This window comes from Homo sapiens, chromosome 1 (assembly GCF_000001405.40).
Source record: "Homo sapiens chromosome 1, GRCh38.p14 Primary Assembly".
Classification (NCBI taxonomy): Eukaryota; Metazoa; Chordata; class Mammalia; order Primates; family Hominidae; genus Homo; species Homo sapiens.
In genome coordinates, this window is record NC_000001.11 from 211,526,539 (window position 1) to 211,548,307 (window position 21,769).

The 21,769-nt window shown below is 50.2% G+C and overlaps 2 long non-coding RNA genes across 2 annotated transcripts, besides 3 other annotated features; both read right to left on the reverse strand.

Moving 5' to 3' along the window:
* Positions 1,578–1,647: an enhancer, noted in NCBI's record as "active region_2487". NCBI's record gives its function as "activates an Ori minimal core promoter by ATAC-STARR-seq in GM12878 lymphoblastoid cells {active_cell/tissue: GM12878}" and the evidence as "EXISTENCE:reporter gene assay evidence [ECO:0000049][PMID:35858748]".
* On the reverse strand, positions 2,514–21,742 carry LOC107985261 (uncharacterized). The gene is made up of 3 exons (XR_001738449.1): positions 21,430–21,742; positions 20,394–20,519; positions 2,514–2,873 (listed from the first exon to the last, which is right to left on the reverse strand). It is a non-coding gene; the product is annotated as an uncharacterized LOC107985261 (long non-coding RNA).
* On the reverse strand, positions 4,245–18,007 carry LOC107985260 (uncharacterized). The gene is made up of 4 exons (XR_001738448.1): positions 17,900–18,007; positions 15,250–15,401; positions 11,813–11,966; positions 4,245–5,370 (listed from the first exon to the last, which is right to left on the reverse strand). It is a non-coding gene; the product is annotated as an uncharacterized LOC107985260 (long non-coding RNA).
* Positions 5,635–5,835: a silencer, noted in NCBI's record as "peak683 fragment used in MPRA reporter construct". NCBI's record gives its function as "represses an SCP1 promoter by STARR-seq MPRAs in K562 erythroleukemia cells {active_cell/tissue: K562}" and the evidence as "EXISTENCE:reporter gene assay evidence [ECO:0000049][PMID:32103011]".
* Positions 11,825–12,325: an enhancer, noted in NCBI's record as "H3K4me1 hESC enhancer chr1:211711705-211712205 (GRCh37/hg19 assembly coordinates)". NCBI's record gives its function as "activates a minimal SCP1, AML or CMV promoter by ChIP-STARR-seq in naive H9 embryonic stem cells {active_cell/tissue: H9 hESC(naive)}" and the evidence as "EXISTENCE:reporter gene assay evidence [ECO:0000049][PMID:30033119]".
* Positions 21,743–21,769: the final 27 nt, after the last annotated feature.

Consider the following 21,769-nt stretch of genomic DNA (forward strand, 5'->3'; position numbering starts at 1 on the left):
GCCCATCCAAGAGCCTTGAGACAAAGGGGTCCCAGGACCCCTGCTTTGCCTGATCGTGAGCCCAGCCAGCCACCATGATGCAAGACAGAGGGACACAGGCCTTGGCCCTGATGGACTCCCCGCTTCTGCCCAGAACCCCCAAGGTACCTATGAGATGGGCCAGGGCTGGGGCTGAGGAAGGGTGGGCAGGGTGGGAATGCAGGGCCATTGGAAAAGAAAGGCATTTGATGTCAAAAACCTGCTTTGCAACAGGAAACAAAACTTCACAAGGATTCAGGAGGAGGCACCTCATCTGGCTTCCTTCCTTCCAGGCCCTGCATCAGAGAGAAGCCTGGAGCCAGAAAGCTCCTCACCCCCAGACACCTTGCCCCCTCCACCCCATCCTCCTAGTAGGAGGGTTCCCTCCTCTCACACACCTTCCTCTACCCCTGGCTTCCCTACTGGGGGTGAAAGGGAGCATCCTTTCCTCAGATTCAGGGAATGCAGCCTCCACCCCTGCAGCCCCCACCCAGACAGGGCCATGGTGGAGTGGGAACCCCGTCCACTTCTTCCCAACCTAAGCTCGCCCTGCCCTGGCACATCAGAGAAGGAGGATGGGGAGAGAGCAGGGCCTGGGGGAATTCCCTGCACTGTTCTCTAGACAGTACATGAAAAGCATGCAAATGTCCTGCAAAAATAGCATGCCAGTCAGCACATCTTCCACCTTGGCATCCTTTGTCCATCCCCCACTCCACAGGGTCCCCTGATCCTTTAGGTCCATGCCCCACACAGCATGAAGGGGGAGGCTTTATTATCCTCCCCTCCGCTGGAACCTCTTCTCTCCCTTCCTCCCCAGCCCCTCACCCAATCTTTCCTGGTCCTCACCCTGCCCCTCTCAGTGTCTGACCTTCAACAGTTTGAGAAACATTGTGATTTGTATTTTCAGTGTGGGAATGCATTTCAAGCCTTAGAACCCTTGGCGTGTTGCTGGAAGGTCCAGATACTCTCCTAGCAGGACGTGGCAAGGGTGATCTCTACCTCCTAGTAGAGTCCTAGCAGGTCGCCTGCTGAACCCCAATTTTGAATGCTATTACTGATACTGTTTTTACTATTAGGGCAGGAACCCCTAGAGCCCAGAGGTTAAGATTCATAATAAAGAGCTGCATGGCTATCAGCCCTGAGCTGAAATGAGCAGCCAGTTTAGAATTTAGCATTGGGAGAGTTGCATGTAAAGCAATGGCCTGAAGCTACCTAGAGTAGTTTCACTGACGCTGGTTCTTTTAGTGAACTGCCTTGGGCCCTGCTCAACCTCAGGCTGCCTTAGGGGGACAGAAATGGAGCTTTATCTCCCATGTCCTCAAAGTGCCAGGCTGGGTGCCTCTGCCCCCTGCACGTGGTCCATGACTGATCCCAGCAGCACCAGCTCAGCCTGGTCCTGCCTCCTCCCCAGCCCCTTCGCTGAACTGGAAGGAAGGCCCCCACACCCACTGCCTTCTTGAGCTTGGCCCAGACTCAAGCAGGTCTGGCTACAACTCCTGGAATAGAAAGGAAACCCAGCGACCCATGAGCCTCACTCTGCCTTGGACAGGAAATGCTTCAGCAGGTTTCAAAGGCACAAGAGCCAAGGGAAGGAAGCTACTTGGGGAGGGTACCCAGGGCAGGCCAGGGCCTCCAGAGGGTGGAAGAAGTGAGAATGCCAGGCCTTGAGCCCTGCGGCGAGGTCAGAAACCTTGTCCATGACTGAGCTATGGAGTCCACAGGGAGTGGGGAGCAGTGCCCAGATCCGCCACTGAATCCAGTACCCACGGACAACTGAGCTTGCAGCCACTTCCACACTAGCCATGCCTTCTTTTTTTCTTTTTTTTTTGAGCTGGGGTCTTGCTGTGTCACCCAAGCTAGAGTGCAGTGGCAGGATCTCAGCTCACCGCAGTCTCAACTTCCCAGGTGTCTCACGTGTCCGTGTGAACAGATCACCAAACAGGCTTTGTGTGAGCAGCATAGCTGTTTATTTCACCTGGGTGCAGGCAGGCTGAGTCCAAAAAAGGAGGCAGCAAAGGGTTGTGGGATTACCATTGGTTCTTATAGGTTTTGGGATAGGAGGTGGAGTTAAGAGCAATGTTTTTGGGGCAGAGGGTGGATCTCACAAAGTACATTCAAGGGTGGGGCGAATTATAAAGAAACTTCTTAAGGGTGGGGGAAATTATCAAGAACATTGATCAGTTAGGGTGGGGCAGAAACAAATCACAATGGTGGAATGTCATCAGTTAATGCTATTTTCACTTCTGTGGATCTTCAGTTGCTTCAGGCCATCTGGATGTACACAAGCAGGTCACTGGGGATATGATGGCTTAGCTTAGGCTCTGAGGTCTGACACCCGGTTCAAGCGATCCTCCCACCTCAGCCTCCTGCTGTTGCTGGGATCACAGGTGCATACCACCTGGCTAATGTTTGTATTTTTTATAGAGATGGGGTTTTGCCATGATGCCCAGGCTGGTCTTAAACTCCTAAGCTCAAGCAATCAGCCTACCTCGGCCTCCCAAATTGCTGGAATTACAGGTGTGAGCCACCGTGCCAGCCGAGCCATGCCTTCTTCATGGCCCAGCCTCGAGGGGTGGCAGATGCATGGTTCTAAGTGACCACCACTCAGTACATCATTCTTCTATTGACCACAGTTATGTTGCCAGTCAGTGCCTGCAAACCACTTGGATTTAACCAATGTGTCCCCAGAGCAGTAAGTGAAAATCCTGGGATATCAGGTCACCAGGAAGGCAAGTGTGATGGAAAGTTGAGGCGCTATATACACAGAGGACAAATTTTTGATCCCTGGTTCCACCACATCTTCTCCGTGTTGCTGCGGGCAGGTCACTTAATCCTCTGAGCCTCCTTTGTCTCATCTGTAAGATAGGATGGTCATATCTATCTCAAACAGCTATTTATGGGTTGAATGAAATAGATCAGTGTTTGCTTGGCACACAGTGGTTGTGAAATAAATAGTAGTTCTTAAAATTAATTGGAGAGACAGAACGTACACATCCAAATCGAGTCATTCAGCCACCCCCACACCAACCCAAAGTAGTCTCGCTCCCACTTCCTCAGCCTTGCACACAGCTCTTCCAACTCCTACACCTTCTGCCAAAACCCCCAGACACGCCTTCTGCAGCAAGCCTTCCAGAACAAACTTGTCTATTCATGGCAACCGTCCCTTCACGCCAGACTTCCACGACGTCCCTGCTGCTCATGGAATGCCACTCCCGTGGTTAAACTTGGTCATCTTCTCCATCAGACATGAGCAGGAACTGCCTCTCCCAATCAGCCTAGTATCCAGATGCCAGCCACTCTGGAGCCCTTCATGCAGAACCTACAGAAGCCACACTCCTTTCTATCTCAAGGTCTTCGCATGCGCCCCTCCCTGGGCCTGCAATGCTTGATGATCAGCCCCCTCACCCACTCCGCTCAGCAAGTGGCCAGAAGAACTCTTAGACTGCCTCTAGGACTCAGCATAAATACTACTTCCTCCAGGAAGGCTTCCTTGACTCCCAAACTGAAACAGGTTTCTTATTTTACCTTTCCATGCAATCCAGGAATCTCTTTCAGAGCACTGGCAGCTAAAAATAATTAATTAACAGCAACACTCCTTTAATGCTTGTCCCACATTAAGCTGCAAGTTTAATGAGGACAGGAGCAGGTATATTGTGTTCCCTGGTATATTCTCAACACTTAGCTCAGTACTCGGTGTACAGAAGTGCAACAAATACTTGTCAAATGAATGAATGAATAAATGAATGAATACAACCTCTCCCCACCACACCCAGGTTCCAGCATAAATCTGTTCATATAACACCCTCAGGGGCCAAGAAGGACACACAGGAAGACCTTCTGATTCCAGCTGTGATATATTTCTTCCTGGGAACATGTTGCCTTTTCTTGGTTGAGCCACGAGTCTCCAGGTTTTCTGTACATTGCAAACAACCCTTTCCCCTCCCTGAGGAACACATTCCCCAGTAAGAAGAAGACACCCCAAAGGCTTCCCCCACTGGGAAAGGCTCGGTGCTAACCACATCAGGTTAAATAATATGGTTTGCATCCTGTTTGCTTTGAAGCACATTTGGCAGACATGCATCACAGGCTGGAAATCGCCCCCTCACCCACTTACTTGCTCCAGCCCCACTGGGCAGTCCCCACGAACCATGGCTGAAACAGCCTGTCTAGATCCTCAAGTCCCCTCCCACCCCCAGTGCCCCTCAATGCTTATATTTGGCCTTTGCCCAGTTCTAACAGGGGGTGGTCTCACCAAAGCCTTGGGCAGCAGCCAGAACCCATGGGGCTCTGTAGTGTGGACTGTGGGCTTTGGCCAGGTGAGCACTGAACCAGGAGACCCAGGGTTTGGCCACTGTGTGCCTCTTCCAGCCTCTCAGCACTTAGCTCAGTACTCGGTGTAATAGAAGTGCAATAAATACTTGTCAAATGAATGAAAGACTTCACTTCTCTGAGCTTGTTTCCCTGCTGATAAATGGGGGCAATGGAGTGATGACACCTGTGTTTCCCACCTCACCGGGTGGGTGTAAATGCCAACTAGGAAAACAGAGGGGAGTCTCTGCAATGGGCGGGACACCATGCAAGGCACTGGGGAAATCAAAATGAAGGAGACCAGTCCCTGCCTGCAAAGAAATTGAGTCAACAGTAAACAAGCAAAGAGGCCCTCATAATACAGCGTGTTAGAGGAGTGAGAGGGTGCTGCCAAAGCGGCCATGTCACCCACGAAAAGAGCTGATGCCAAGGGTCACAGACAGCCTCGGAGTGAGTAAAACATCACCAACAGGGAACTCAGGCCAACCTGTTCGTCACTCTTGCACACTTGCTCTGTGGCCTTGAGCAAATTACTTGCCCGCTCTGTGCCTCATTGAGATGGGAGGAATTCATGAATGAGCACATATGAGGTGCTTGGAACAGTTCTAGGGCAAAAAGCAGGGGCTAAGGCAGTGTCAGCTATGATTATGGTTATTCTGTTTTTAATCCATTCAACAAATATGTACAAGGCTCTGTGTTGGGCATGGGGGGTGTGTCAGTAAACCGAAAGGACTGAAAACCCTGCTCTCGTAGAGCTTACATTCTGGAAGGGAAAGAAGCAAACCAAATAAGCACAGTAGTTAATGTGTTTGATGAGTAGGAGTGCTTTGTAAAAAAAAGAAAGCAGAAAGCGGGTATAAGGCGCTCCATCACTGTGGGACGGGTTCCCCAGGGAGGGTTCCGATGGGAGGCACCCAGTCAGGGAAGAGGCTGGGGTGAGCAAAGGCCTGGAGGAGGTGAGAGGAACCATGGATTCGGCTGGAGAAAGTGGTCCAAACAGGAACAGCCGGGCCTTATCCTGTGTTGCTATTAATACATCTTCAGCTGCAAAATGGAAATGAGAAGTTGCTGTGAGGATTAAATTAGGTAACAAATGCCCGGCACATGGTGAGCACAGAATAAATGCTAGTGCCTCTGCCACTCCCTTCTCATCCCACAGGGCTCCTTGCAGTTATTAGATGTTTGGGTTCCCCAAGCCAGATTGTGCTTCCTCTCTGGTGCAGGGCGTCTTCTGCTGGTCTCCCAGTGGCCCCTTGAGCACTGCATGGGCTGGGATCTGGAGGAGGGACAGCAGGTTGCTGAAGGCCCTTGGGATGACCCAGGGATCTCAGACCAGAGCATGGAGGGCAGACACTGGCCCGTTGCCTTCTAGCTGTGGTATCTTGGCCAGGGACAGTAATAACAGTTGTCACCTACGCCAGCACATTTTATCGCTTAATCCTTCTCCTGCCCTGGGAGGCAGATATGGAACGTGAGCCTCAGAGAGTTTCACACAGTGAGAAGATAGAAAAGCTGAGATCTGAGGCTGAGGTATGAGACTCCAAAGCCCCTGCTCTCGGCAGGGTTGCCAGATTTACCAACAACAAACAAAAACAAAAGCAGTACACCAGCTTAAATTTGAATTTCAGATAAACAAGAGATAATTTTTAGAAGTACAGCTATCCCTTGGTATCCCTGGGAGATTGGTTCCAGGACCCCACAGATACTAAAATCTGAGGATGCTCAAGTCCCTCATATAAACTGACATAGTGTTTCCGTATAACCGTATAACTGCCCATATACTTTAGCTCATCTCTAGGTTATCTACAATACCTAACACAATGTAAATGCTTTGTAAATAGTTGTTAGTTATAAGGTATTTTTTATTTGTATTATTTTTATTGTTTTTAAAAAATATTTTCTATCTGCAATTGGTTGACTCCATGGATGAAGAACCCACAGATATGGAGGGTCAACTGTAGATCCCAAATACTAAATGACATGTTGATAGTAAAAAAGTATTCATTGGCCGGGCGTGGTGGCTCATGCCTATAATCCCAGCACTTTGGGAGGCCGAGGCAGGTGGATCTCTTGGTCAGGAGATCGGGACCAGCCTGACCAACATGAGAAAACCGCATTTCTACTAAAAATACAAAAATTAGCCGGGCATGGTGGTACATGCCTGTTATCCTAGCTACTCAGGAGGCTGAGGCATGAAAATTGCTTGAACCTGGGAGGTGGCAGTTGCAGTGAGCCAAGATTGTGCCACTGCACTCCAGCCTGGGTGACAGAGTAAGACTCTTATCTCAAAAAAAAAAAAAAGGCCAGGCGTGGTGGCTCACGCCTGTAATCCCAGCACTTTGGGAGGCAGAGGCGGGTGGATCACAAGGTCAGGAGATCGAGACCATCCTGGCTAACATGGTGAAACCCCGTCTCTACTAAAAATACAAAAAAATTAGCTGGGCATGGTGGCGGGCGCCTGTAGTCCCAGCTACTCTGGAGGCTGAGGCAGGAGAATGGCGTGAACCTGGGAGGCGGAGCTTGCAACAATGAGCCAAGATGGCACCACTGCACTCCAGCCTGGGCGACACAGCCAGACTCCGTCTCAAAAAAAAAAAAAAAAAAGGCTGGGTGTTGTGGCTCATGCCTGTAATTCCAGCACTTTGGGACGCTGAGGCGGGTGGATCACTTGAGGTCAGGAGTTCGAGGCTAGCCTGGCCAACATGGCGAAACCCCGTATCTACTAAAAATACAAAAATTAGCTGGGCATGGTGGCAGGCACCTGTAATCCCAGCTACATGGGAGGCTGAGGCAGAAGAATCGCTTGAACCGGGAGGTGGAGGTTGCAGCGAGCCAAGATTGCACCATTGCACTCCAGCCTGGGCAACAAGAGCAAAACTCCGTCTCAAAAAAAAAAAAAAAAAGTATTCATTGTTTATCTGAAATTCAAATCTAACTGGGCATCTTGTATTTTTATCTGGCAACCCTAGCTCTCAGCCACTCTGCAGTACTGTCTCCCAGAATCAGAGGCCACTGCCTGTGGGGATGTTAGAAAAGTTAGGGATGCCAAGCACAGTGGCTCACAGGTATATCCCCAGCACTTTGGGAGACCAAGGCAGGAGAGTGGCTTGAGGCCAGGAGTTTGAGACTAGCCTAGGCAACACAACAAGACCCCACCTCTACAAAAAATACAAAAATTAGCTGAGCATGGTGGTGCTCGGCTACAATCCCAGCTACTTGGGAGGCTGAGGTTGGAGGACCGCCTGAGCCTGGGAGGTCGAGGCTGCAGTGAGCCGTGATCGCACCATTGCGCTCCGGCCTGGGCAACAGAACGAGACCCTGTCTCAGAAAAAGAAAAAGAAAAAGAAAAAAAAAGGTGAAGACATCAAGGGTGCCAATCAATTTTCCAACGATGCCCCTTGCTTGAGATTAGGTCTCACTTGAAGATGGACTGAGGCCCACCCCAGAAAGTAGGCAAAGGGCCCCCTGCTGTAGGTCCTGAGCTTTTTGGGGACACAGTCTGACCCTTTTCTGGCCAACCCCCTCCTCACAAAGAGAGGAGTCTGCAGGGCCAAGATACACCCACCCAGAACCTGCCTCCCTCACCGCCCCCTAGTCCTGGGATCTTGGAAGGCCCTGCCTAGCAGGCCCTGAGCCCACTTGCAGGGTTTGAGGGCCTCCCGAGGACTGATTATGCCACTGGTGGAGGCACCACTGGCTGGGGCTGCAGATAAAACACAGGATTCCCAGTTACATTGGAGTTTTACATACATAAGGAATACTTTTTTAGTATAAGTATGTCCCAAATATCACAACCTCTCCCTGGGCCCAAGAAGTGGCCAGGGACTGCTGTTTGGTGGTGTGTGGTTGTGCGGGCTGGGTGTCCACACAGATATTGAAGGCACTGGTGACCTCTCGTGGTTCAGAATGGTGCCAAGAGTGGGAAGAGAAGCGGGCATGGGCTGTGATCTGAGAATATCATTTGGTCTCTACTGGGCCCACAAAAGCTAGGGCAGCCTGCTTATTCCAATTTCTCTGCCTTCTCTTACCACCTCTAAGTTACCAGCCTGCGTTCCCCAGAGGGAGTGCTCTGAGCTGGGCAGTAAATGGCTGGCTGGCTTCTCCCTCTGTGTAGGGAGACTCCAGTTGCCCAGCCTGGGACACTCAACTCCACAGCCCCCAGCCCAGCCCAGGACCACCTCCTGCCCTCTGTTCCCCACTTATCCCCATGGCTTTCTCTACTCCCCTTCCTTCCTTCCTTCCTTCCTTCCTTCCTTCCTTCCTTCCTTCCTTCCTTCCTTTCTTTCTTTCTTTCTTTCTTTCTTCTTTCTTTCTTTCTTCCTTTTGTGTGTGTGAGACAGGGTCTCCCTCTGTCACCCAGGCTGGAGTGCAGTGGTACAATCACAGCTCACTGTGGCGTCAACATCTTGGACTCAAGAAATCCTCCCACCTCAGCCTCCTGAGTAGCTGGGACTACAGGCACACACCACCACACCTGGCTAATTTTTTAATTTTTTTGTAGAAACAGAGCCTCACTTTGTTGCTCAGGCTGGTCTCAAACTCCTGGCCTCAAGCAATTCTCCTGCCTTGGCCTCCCAAAGTGTTGGGATTACAGGTGTGAGCCACTGCATGAGGCCCTCTCATAATGTTTGCTTTCCCCAGGAGGGCCAGAGGGCATCAGCCCCAGAGATGGGCTGGAAAGATTGGGTCATGATTGCTCTGGTGCAGACAAGTCTGATCTGGCCAGTTCTCAGCTGACGGAGGTGGGAGTGAAGGCTGCAGGAACTTCCACTGGCCTCTTGACCTATTCTAGAACCCTGTGGAAAATATGCTGCTCTCCTCTGGAGGAACTTCCCAATGACTGAGGTGCGCTGGGGCCCTACTCCATGTCTTGTGTATGCCTCGATCCTGTGCATACAGGCACATATATGTAAAGTGCCTAGAACAGTGCCCAGCACATGTGAGCACTAAATATGCTGGCTATTACCATTATCATTACTTACAAATGACACATAGTCACCAACTTTTTTTTTTTTTGAGACGGAGTTCTGCTCTTGTTGCCCAGGCCAGAGTGCAATGGCATGATCTTGGCTCACTGCAGCCTCTGCCTCCCAGGTTCAAGCGATTCTCCTGCCTCAGCCTCGGGAAAGTAGCTGGGATTACAGGTGCCCACCACCACACCCAGCTAATTTTTGTATTTTTAGTAGAGATGGGGTTTCACCATGTTGGCCAGCCTGGTCTTGAACTCCTGACCTCAGGTGATCCACCCGCCTCTGCCTCCCAAAGTGCTGGGATTATAGATGTCAGCCACTGCGCCTGGCCAGTCACCCACTTTTATGTTCCTCTTACTCACTGGACAGTGAATTCCGTAGGGGCTGGGGCTGTGTTTGGTTTAGTAGTCTTAGTGTCTGGTACAAACACATATGTGCTCAATAAATGTTTCTCTGATGAAAACAATGGACAGGGATAGGCTCAGTGCCTCATGCCTGTAATCCCAGCACTGTGGGAGGCCGACATGGGAGGATCGCTTGAGGACAGGAGATCAAGACAAGCCTGGGTAACACAGCAAAACCCCATCTCTATAAAAAATTTTTTAAAAATTAAAATAATGAAAAAAGGAAAACAATAGATAGTCTTTAGTTATTCTGGCTTTGTGTACCTGAATTTTCTCTCCACGCTATAGGTGCAGATTGGGTCACAATCAAATGCCACTGTCTCTTGTGCCCCCTTTCACAGGGCCTCAGACCCCTGCCACCTCCCTGCTCCCTTGCCCTCACCCCTAGACACCTTTGCCTGGGTCTCTGCCCTCCCAGTGGGCCCCACGGTGCATCACCAGCCACTGCCACAGGTTGCTTGGCCCTCGGGTGTCAGGGGCTCTAGACTGTGAGGGTAGACGAGTCTCCCCTTGGCGTTATGCGTGGTAGGAGAGGCCAGAGCCCCATTCGTGGGAATGGTGATCCCATTTTGTGTCAAGTCCTCTTCCTAGGGCTCAGACCAGCATGGGGCTGGAAAGACCCCTCCTCCGATGGGCTGCAGGTCGCTTTGCCCTGCTGATGGCAGGCTTGGTTACCCATCTCCTTCCTGGGGTAAGTCTGCTCCCTGGAGGCTGGAGGCTGGAGGCTCTGGGAACTTGGAGCAAAACTTCTTTTTTTTTTTTTTGAGACAGAGTTTCGCCGTTTTTGCCCAAGCTGGAGTGCAGTGGCACAATCTTGGCTCACTGCAACCTCCACCTCCTGGATTCAATCAATTCTCCTGCCTCAGCCTCCCAAGTAGCTGGGATTACAGGAGTGTGCCACCATGCCCAGCTTATTTTTGTATTTTTAGTAGAGACGTAGTTTCACCATGTTGGCCAGGCTAGTGGCCAGGCTAGTGACCTCAGGTGATCCACCCACCTTCGCCTCCCAAAGTGCTGAGATTACAGGCCACTGCGCCCGACCTGGAGCAAAACTTCTGTAGGTTGGCCCTGCCAGCCAGACATGTCTGAATCCTACCTTAGGCCCATGTTACCCTGGGGAGCCATAGGCACACACACCTCCACATACATGATCACACCCACTCGCACCCTCCCACACACACTCACACCCTCTCTCCCCTGATTCACTCTACTGACAGCAGCTCACAGATAAGCCACAATGTGACTAACCCACAAAGCACACACTGCACTGAGTTTTTTACTGCCTAGGAGCACCAGTTTAGGAGGAGCATGGCAGATTTAAAATCTCTTTTCACCCCTTTTCAAGCTCAGCGCTGTTTCCTCTTACTCTAGACCCCTGCATCCCTTCTGCTCCCCCCAACCTAGAGCCCCTGCTTTTTGCAAGTGGAACCCCCACACCAGTACCTCCAGAGACCCAGAGCTAGGAAGACCCAACCCCTTCCCAGGGCAGGCTGGGGAGGACAGAAAGGCTCCACATGCCCCCTGCCGTCTCTGGATGCTCTGCTGGATCCGTGAGCCTGGGGGCACCTGGGAGAGAGCTCAGACTGGGCATGGGGTCTGTAATCCCAACACTTTGGTAGGCCGAGGCAGGCAAATCACTTGAGGTCAGGAATTCGAAACCAGCCTGGCCAATAATGGTGAAACCCTGTCTGCTAAAAATACACAAATTAGCCAGGTGTGGTGACTTGTACCTGTAGTCCCAGCCACTCGGGAGGCTGAGGCAGGAGAATCGCTTGAACCTGGGAGACAGAGGTTGCAGTGAGCTGAGATCATGCCACTGCACTCCAGCCTGGGCAACAGAGCAAGACTGTCTCAGAAAAAAAAAAAAGAAAAAGAAAAAAATAAAGAAGGACACAAGCTCAGAAGCAGGGGTCTAAGGCTCCCTTTGCTCCGGGCATCTGGGTACATGTGTGGGGCCCAGGCCTGAGCTGCCTACTTCCACCTGCAGTGACTTCTCAGCCCCAAGCCCAGCACTACGCCCTGCCCTGTGGCTCCGTCTCTTTGTCTCTTTCTCAGCTCTCCTCTGTCCTCCCCCATCTTTATCCAGTCTCCCTCCGACCCTGCCCACTGCACCTGGTCCTTCCTGTTCCTCCCTGGCCTTCTTGCAGGCTTCGTCACTTGCTTCCTGGCTGTCCTCTCTTTGCCCAGCAGCTGGTGGCCCCATCCATGTCCCCTGAAGGGCAGGGCCTTTCAGGAATCCGCTTCTGAGAAGGAGCCACGCTCAATCCTGGGGGACAGAAGGGGCAGATGGGGGAGGGGGAGATGACAAAAATAGCTCCTTGGCTGAGCAGGGAAGAGAGCGGGAGCATCGGGAATGGGAGCAGACGGGGAGAGGAAGGCGGGCCAGAGCTGGGAGGTCAGCAAGGCAGGAACAAGCAGATGAAGAAACTACCACCTGACAGTGATGATGTCTGGGCCTGGAGTGGGGCAGGGAGGAGAAGACCCTCTCCAGGTCTCTGCAGGGAGTCCCCTGGCTTTCCCATGTCTGGAATCTCTCTTCAGATCAGTGACAGACAATGAGGCCTCCAGGTACCTGGATTCGGGACTCCCCCCGGGGCTTCTCGAGAGCAGATGGTGGACCCTACAGACGCTGCCGTCGGCCTTAGAACAGTCACCCCTGGGCACATGTGTCCATTCCATTCCCATTTACCAAGTGCCCATAGGGACTGGGCATGGTGCTGCGGTAGGGGCTCACTGTCTGGAGGTCCTGAAGAGACCCTCTCATTCAGCCTCTAGGCACACCACATGTGCCTCCCTCAAACACAGCACTAATTTTGGGCTCAGCAGCAAACAGGGTTTCATCCCTGTCTCACTCCCAGAGCACTCAGTCCAGGAGAGACAGAGGGCTAAGCAGGCCATTGCAACCAGAGAATGGAGGGTACAGGGTATGGTGGGGCCTGGGGCTCAGCACCTACCCCAGGCTCTGGTAGACTGATTGTTAGTTCAGACCAGATTTTGATCACTATGTAATCTGATCCCTATCTCCCTTGCCAACCTGTTTCCCACTGGGCCTGTCCTGGAAGCACATACACCAATACAACACCTCCTAACAAGCAAGTCCCATTCAGTCTTCAAGCAAAGTTCAGCTCCCACTCTGCACCTCTGCGACACCCTTGCCTTCACGTGAATGTCCCTTCCCTTCAGCCTGCCCAAATCTCCACGTCCTTCTGAACCCAGCTTGCGTGCTCACGCCTGTGAAGTCCCTGACCATGAAAAGCCATTCCTTGCCCTGGCCCATCAGTTATAGCCTGTGCCCGGCAGGCATGGATTGCCGCCCGTTATTCCATGTAGGTCCTCCCTGGTGACGGCTGTGCTGCCCAAGGACAAGGGCATGTCTTATACAGTTTTTCCTGAGGTATAAATAAGCGTCATAATCATAGTTATCATCTTCTTTTTACCATCATTCATGTGCATGAAATTTCCCACAGAAAGAAGGACATTGAGTGTGACTTGAACGTGTCATACTGCTCCTTGTACATGATTTCATTTAATCTCCATCACACCTCTTGGATGGACACTGTAACTCCTTTTTTTTTTTTCTGCGACAGAGTCTTGCTCTGTCACCCAGGCTGGAGTGCAGTGGTGCAGTCTTGGCTCACTGCAACCTCCATCTCCCGGGTTCAAGTGATTCTCCTGCCTCAAGCCTCCCAAGTAGCTGGGACTACAAGCATGCGTCAGCAAGCCCAGCTAGCTTTTGTATTTTTAGTAGAGACAGGATTTCACCATGTTGGCCAGGCTACTCTTGAACTACTGACCTCACATGATCCACCCACCTTGGCCTCCTAAACTGCTGGAATTACAGGTGTGAGCCACCGCACCCGGACCCTGTAACTCCTATTTTAAAGAGGAGGAAAGGCAGCTTGGGGCCCAGCAAAAGCAGCAAGGCTAGATTAAGCACCATTTGATACAGTTGGTCCCTCTCTCCTGCTTGAGGCTATCTCTTCTGGGATAAGCGTTTCCTGGCTTCCCTCCTACCTCCCTGATTGTGCCTTCTCTTCTCTTGGGCTTCTGAAGAGTGCAGTGCTCAAGGCTCAGCCCTCATCCTTTTCCCCATCTGCACTCCCACACTCATGATCTCATTCACCATCTGCAGAATGACACCCCAAACTTACATTTCTAGTGCAGACCTTTCTCCCATAATCCTGACTCCTATACCTAACTGCCTGCTAGGCTCACCCAGCTGGAGTCTGGCAGACATCTCCAGTGGACCAGACGGAATGCAGTGCTCCTGAGCTCCCTGTGTTAGTCTGGTTTCTTTTTTCTTTTTCTTTTTCTTTTTCTTTTTTTTTTTTTTTTGAGACAGAGTTTCGCTCTTGTTGCCCAGGCTGGAGTGCAATGGTGCAATCTTGGCTCACCACAATCTCTGCCTCCTGGGTTCAAGTGATTCTCCTGCCTCAGCCTCCCGAGTAGCTGGGATTACAGGGATGCACCACCATGCCTGGCTAATTTTGTATTTGTAGTAGAGACAGGGTTTCTCCATGTTGGTCAGACTGGTCTCGAACTCTCGACCTCAGGTGATCTGCCCGCCTTGGCCTCCCAAAGTGCTGGGATTACAGGCATGAGCCACCATGCCCAGCCGGGATTAGTCTATTTTCTTACTGCTGATAAAGACATACCTGAGACTGGGCAATTTACAAAAGAAAGAGAAGTTTGATGGACTTACAGTTTCATTAAACTGGGGAGGACTCACAATCATAGCAGAAGGCAAGGAGGAGCAAGTCACATCTTACATGGATGGCAGCAGGCAAAGAGAGAGAGAGCTTGTGCAGGGAAACTCCCTTTTTAAAACCATAAGATCTCATGAGACTTATTCACATCATGAGAACAGCATGGGAAAGACATGCCCCCATGATTCAATTATCTCCCACCAGGTCCCTCCCACAACACATGGGAATTATGGGAGCTACAAGATGAGATTTGGGTGGCAACACAGAGCCAAACCATATCATCCCCCACCCCTCCCAAGCCTGCCTCCAGCCCCTGCCTGAGCCCCCATAGCCTCCTGTCTGGGTATCATGCTGGGCTCCGAGAGCTGCTCTCCCATTTCCCACCTTCTTGCTCAGCAGTGGGAGGGATCCTTTACAAAGAGAAGACAGGCCACTGTTACACCCTAAGTGATGTAGCCCCCACCCTTCGACAATCCCTCAGTCTCCAACTTTCCACATCACCCCCTCCACTCCAGCTTCCTGGTCTCCAGCTGTTGCTCAAACACACAGTCCTGTTCCCTCTGCCTCAGCTCTGGAGACATGGTGTTCTCTCTGCCTGCCACATGGGCAGCTCCTTCACTTCCCTGACCACTCTCTTAAGATTGCAACCCCAACCTCATCCATACATGTGCTCCTGATCCCCCTTTCCCTGCTCTATTTTGCCTTTATTCCACAGCCTTAAGACCTAATTTATTTACTTTTTAGGGTTATTATAACCTCCCCATCTCCCACCAGAAGCAACCCATGGTCAGGGATCTTTGTCTTTTTGGTTCACTGCTGTATTCCAAGCACCTATAACGATACCTAGCACATAGTGGGTTTTGAGTAAATATTGAACGAAAGAATGAACAGATTATTCCATTCTCCCCTTTCACTTCTCTGTGTGCTGGAACTTCATGAGGCTCTATCTGGGAAGCTGGCCAGATGGACATGCTGTATTTTCTTAGCTTAATGACCTGGGAACAAAGAAGGGAAAGCCTTAGAAAGCCAGGAAGCTGCTGGGACAAGTTTGGCTGGTCCTGCTTTAAAAACAAAACAAAAAACAAAACAAACAAACAAAAAAACCAAAAACAACAACAGCCACTCAGATTGGGCTGAGCTCTGATGGGCCCAGCTGTGACCTCTGCACGCAGCAACACCTCCCTTATCACCCTTCTGTCTTAAACCCAAGGGGCCCAGCTGAGCTTGTCACCCAACCTGCTTGTGTCACCTAGCCTGCAGCATGCCCCACCTACTGCCCCAACCTGTTTCCTCCCATTCATTCCACCCGCAGCTTCTCCAAACACCTCCCTGCGAGGAGCTGCCTCCCAGTTCCACTCACACTCACAGATCAAAGGAGGCCTGCTTTGATCTGAACTAGCACTGGGTACAGGCAACTGAAACACCCACCCCACGTGCACACACACACACACACACACCCTTTGAGGGTTCTATCACAGGAATTGCTATGAAGGCAGTTTGATTCCGTTCAAATTCTAGCTCCACTCCTAACTAGCTTTGTGAGTGAGGACAAGTCTACTGTGCTCCCAGGGCTTTAATTTCCTCATCTGTAAGGAGGGAAATAATGCTGCCTTTGGGGTTATTGTGAGGATTAAAAGAGATTGTATTTGCAGAGAATCCAGCAGTGCACCCGCCACCCAAGGGTGCTAAATAATGGTCAGTAGCCTCACACACCCCCACCTCTTGAGAGTCCACCATGTGCCAAACACTGTTAATGGTGCTGGTGAGCAGTCAGCCCCATGGTGGGTGGGGGCGGGGGCAACCCTTTTAATGGACAGCATCTAGATGAAGGGCTGCAATGCAGAATGGCTACTGGAATTCAGCCTCTGGGTGGCAAGCAAATAGAGGAGACAATGTGGGTGATGGGGTTGGGGGGACCCTGGAAGCTATCTTAACTTCTTGCTGAGAAATGAGTGACATTTATCAAGGAGAAATTGTCAGTTGGTGTTCTAAAAAGACTTGAGGCTCATTTGCAAAACCCATGGAGAGAGGGAGGGTTTGGGGATCAGGTAACCCTGGGTTCAACTCTCAGTTCCATAGAAAAAATCTGGAAGGATACACACTTCTCTGCATAGGACTCGCTTTTCTCCCCAGACCTTTCATCAACATCCTGTTGGCAATGGGTGTCACAATAGGCTGCCACCTCTGGGCTCCCTGCCCCTCTGGCACCTGTGGGCAGTGAGGGTGAATGGCTGTTCACCTGTGAGTGGCTGCATTTTGAGGGTTTCGTCTCTAGAGGTGCTTTTGTGCTGTGTCTGTGCTCACTGGCACTGCACCACATACTTTTGCTGTGCTATAAGCTATAAAACTTCTGACCTCATAGGTAGCTGAGCTAGGTGAGCTCTGCGAGAGGAAGGCTGACATTTCCAAATGTCTTTTTTTTTTTTTTAGAGACAGAGTCTTGCCCTGTTGCCCAGTCTGGAGTGCAGTGGCGTGATCTCGGCTCACTGTAACCTCTGCCTCCTGGGCTCATGTGACCCTCCCACTTCAACCTCCCCAGTAGCTGGGACTATAGGCATGCACCACCATGCCCAGATAATTTTTGTATTTTTTCCTAGAGATGGGGTTTTATCACGTTGCCCAGGCTGGTCTCAAACTCCTGGTCTCAAGTGATCCTCCTGCTTCGGCCTCCCAAAGTGCTGGGATTACAGACAGAGCCACTGCACCTGGCCCCAAATGTCTTTTTAAAACACTGTGTAACAGTCAACACTTTCAAATGTCTTTGAAACAACAACAAAAAAAGGAAAACCAGAGCAGCCTGTGCTGCTGTAAAGCTCCAGGCAAAGTCAGGGAGGCTAAGCTGCCTTTCCCCACACTTGCCTGGCTTCCATACTCTGCTCCCCACTCTCCTCGTGCCCAAGTTCCACATTTAAATCACATATTTATACTGCAGAATGAAGATGGGCAAAATTTTTAAAATTACATATTTAAATATTCAGTTTTTCATAAAATAGACTACAATAATAAAGCTTGTAATGTTTCCAATGGATTATCAAAATTCCTTAATCTCCTTCTTTCCTCTAATATTTTATAGGGAAACTGATTTTTATCTTTATTCTTTGGAGACAGAGTCTCAGTCTGTTGCCCAGGCTGGAGTGCAGTGGCACGACCACAGGTTACTACAGCCTCTATCTCCTGGGCTCAAGCAATCCTCCTGCCTGAGCCTCCCGAGTAGCTAGGACTACAGGCACATACCACTGTGCTCAGCTAATTTTAAATTTTTTGTAGAGACAGTCTTGCTATGTTGCCCAGGCTGGTCTCCAACTCCTGGCCTCAAGTGATCCTCCTGCTTTGGCCTCCCAGAATGCTGGGATTACAAGTGTGAGCTACTGTGCCCAGCTGATAAATGCATTTTAAAATTACACAAGTGTTTTTTAAAACATGGCACTAGAGTCCTTTTGCACCAAATTTTGTGTGTGTATGGGTATGTGTCTAATCCCACTTCCTCACTTACCCGTGACCCAGAACAAGGTGCTTAATTCCCTGAGCCTCACCCTTAACACCCACTGGACATTCCTTCAATAAGAATCCACTGGGCATCTTCTAGATCAGGCATTCTTCTAGGCCCTGGGTATGGAGTGACAAAATGAATGAGACTTAACCAGGTATGTGGGGAAGCCAGACAATAAATCATGAATCTCCCATCATTTTAAACATTCAGAAGAAAAAGAAAGCAAAGTAAAGGCAGAGTGACCTGCCTTTCAAGCTGCTGTGTGGATAGTGCTACATGCAATGCCTGTTTACTCCTCTGGTCTCCTTGGCTTACCTCATCATCCCCCACAGTTCCCTGACCACAGGTGGAACACCCCACCCACACTCCCTACACTATTATGTATTTTTCCTTTTTATCTTTTTCAGCAGAAACCCAGGATAGGAACGGCAGGGGACACGGGGAGTGGGAATGGGAGAGGACCTCAGGGATACTTTGTTTTTTGAGACAGGGTCTTGCTCTGTTGCCCAGGCTGGGGCACAGTGGCACATCTAGCACCCCAGCCCCTCTGGTTCTTGATCACCTTGCTTCAAGTGGGCTTGTCCTTCATCTCACCTCAGCCACTCACTCTCGCAGCCATGCCTTAGGTATGTTATTACCAAGAACTCCATAATCTCAATTTCATGCCTCCCACTCTGACCATGGCCTCCCATCTTCCCAGTTTACTCCCTCTGGGACACCAGCTCCAATAATTCTTCAGTCCCTCAAGACTTACCCACCTTCCCCTTTTCCTTCACCTCCCCACTTTCCTTCTCATCCAGTTTAGATGATCTAATCATCATTATAATCACTCATCTCCACACATCCTCAATTCCCTTGACCCCTCTTCCTTCACTCTGCTCTTCTGGAAAAACACCAGCTTTGATTGAATCTAGCTCTCTACCTATTTATTTATTCAGAGACAGAGTCTCACTCTGTATCCCAGGCTGGAGTACAGTGGCATGATCTCAGTTCACTCCAACCTCCACCTCCTGGGTTCAAGCAATTCTCGTGCCTCAGCCTCCCAAGTAGCTGGGATTACAGGCACACACCATCATGCCAGGCTAATTTTTGTATTTTTAGTAGAGACGTGGTTCTGTCATGTTGGCCAGGGTCTCAGGTGATCTGCCTGCCTCGGCCTCCCAAAGTGCTAGGATTACAGGTGTGAGCCACTGCACCTGGCCTCTCTACCTATGTAACACCTGCATCACAATAGCTAAATGTGTCTAGAAAATATCAACCATGGCCAGGCGTGGTGGCTTATGCCTGTAATCCCAGCAACTAGGGAGGCTGAGGCATAAGAATTGCTTGAACCAGAGAGGCAGAGGTTGTGGTAAGCCGAGATCGCCACTGCACTCCAACATGGGTGACAGAGCAAGACTCTGTCTCAAAAAATTTTTTCAAAAATAGAAAATATTGGCCAGGAGCAGTGGCTCACGCCTGTAATCCTAACACTTTGGGAGGCCAAGGTGGGTGGATTACTTGAGATCAGGAGTTCAAGAGCAGCCTGGCCAACATAGTGAAAGCTCATCTCTACTAAAAATGCAAAAATTAGCCAGGCGTAGTGGCACGTGCCTGTAATCCCAGCTACTAGGGAGGCTGAGGCAGGAGAATTGCATGAACCCGGGAGGCAGAGGTTGCAGTGAGCCAAGATTGCACCATTTCACTCCAGCCTGGGTGAATAAGCAAGACTCCATCTAAAAAAAATATATCAACCATGCTAACTGGCTTTTTTTGAGACAGGGTCTCAGTCTGTCACCCAGGCTGGAGTGCAGTGGCCTGATCTCAGCTCACTGCAACCTCCACCTTCCAGGCTCAAGTGATCCTTCCACCTCAGCCTCCCGAGTAGCTGGGAATATAGGTGTGCGCCACTACGCCTGGCTAATTTTTGTATTTTTTATAGAGACAGGCTTTCACCATGTTGCCCAGGCTGGTCTTGAACTCCTGGGCTCAAGCCATCTGCCTTCCTCAGCCTCCCAGAGTGCTGGGATTACAGGTGTGAGCCACTGTGCCTGACCTAGCCTTGCTTTAAATCATAGTCAACTAATGTCAAAAATCCTTCACTTAGAAACTAGAGTCCATCTTCTCTTATCTACCCAAGATCTTACTCCAGCAGTTGTCCTTTCTTTCTCCTTCATCATCAAATTTTCACCCTCTATCAGATCACTCTCATTATCCTACAGATACGTTATTTCTCCTATCTGAAAAATAGCCCTCTCCTAATCTCACATCCCCTACCGGCTACTGCCCCATTTCTCGCTCCACTGTCTTCAGTTCGTATCTTCCTGTTCTCTCCAAGCCCCACTTCAATCAGGCTTTTCCCTTCATATCTCCACAAAACGGGCCTTCTCAAGGTCACCAATTACTTGCCAAATACTCAGCTTTCCGTTTCTGTCTGACTTCATCTCAGAATGTTTAAACCCAGTCAATTGTTCATTCGTTGGGACACTGCCCTCCCCTCTCCTGGCTTGCCTCCTACCTCACTGGCTGCCCCCTTCGTGGTGTCCTTTGCTGGCTCCTCTTCATTTTCCTGACCCCCAAACATTGGAGTGTTCCGGGGTTCTTTCTTTGGATTTCCTATCTTCTCAAGAGCCCATGTTGGTGGCTGTGAATTCAAAATAAGGCCAATTTCAACCAGGTTTATGGCTTTAAATACCTCCTCTAGGCCAGGCATGGTGGCTCACACCTGTAATCCCAGCACTTTGGGAGGCTGAGGCAGGTGGATCACCTGAGGTCAGGAGTTTGAGACCAGCCTGGCCAACATGGTGAAACCACGCCTCTACTAAAAATATAAAAATTAGCCCGGCATGGTAGTGCACCCCTGTAGTCCCTGCTACTCAGGAGGCTAAGGCAGGAGAATTGCTTGAACACAGGAGGTGGAGGTTGCAGTGAGCTGAGATCATGTCACTGCACCTCAGCCTGGGCAACAGAGCGAGACTCCATTTCAAAATAAACAAACAAATAAGTACCCCCTCTAGCTGACGACTCCTAAATTGGCCTTTCCAGCCAGATCGTTCCCCTGAATTCTAGGTTTGAACATCCAAATGTCTATTTAATATCTCCCCTGGCATGTTCAATAGTCATCTCAAATCTATCATATTGAAGACAGAACTCCCGGTCTTTCTCCCCAAAATCCACTTTTCCTGTAGTCTCCCCATCTCTGTAAGTAACGAATCCATCCTTCCAACTGTTTGGGCCAAAAAGCTTAGAGTCATCTCTGCCTCCTTAGTTTCTTTCATATGCACATCTAATCTGTCAGGAAACCCTGACAATTCTCCGAGTGCATCTTGAATCTGGCGACTTCTCGCCATCTACACCACTGGGACTAGTCTGAACCTGACCTTGCCCTTGCCCACCTTCATTCTGCCCTCAACAATGCAGTCAGAGGATCCACTTCAAACGTGTCAGATTAGGTCATTACTCATTTCAAAGCCCTTGAATGGCAGCTCAAAAGTCTCCATCTCTTTCAGAATAAAAGCCAGCGTGCAAACGCTCTAGTGTTTCTTTGATCCTACCTTTATCTCCCACTCTGTTTCAGCCACACTGGCCTCCTTGTTCCTGATCATGGACTTCTGCAGGGCTCTTCACCTGGCATGTGCTTCCCCAGATGTGTGGCTTGCCCTTTCTCTTCTTTCAGGCCTTTGCTCAAATAGCACATCATCAGTGATGCTTTCTTTGCTCATCCTTATAAAATGGGAACCACTTCCCCTCCCAGCTTTATTTTTCTCCTTAGCACTTCTCGCTGTCTGACTTACTATAAATTTTGCCCACCTCTCCCTTCCAGAATGTAACTGCCACAAGGGTAGGGCCTGTATGTGGTTCACTGGAGTATCCTCAATGCCTAGAGTGATGCCT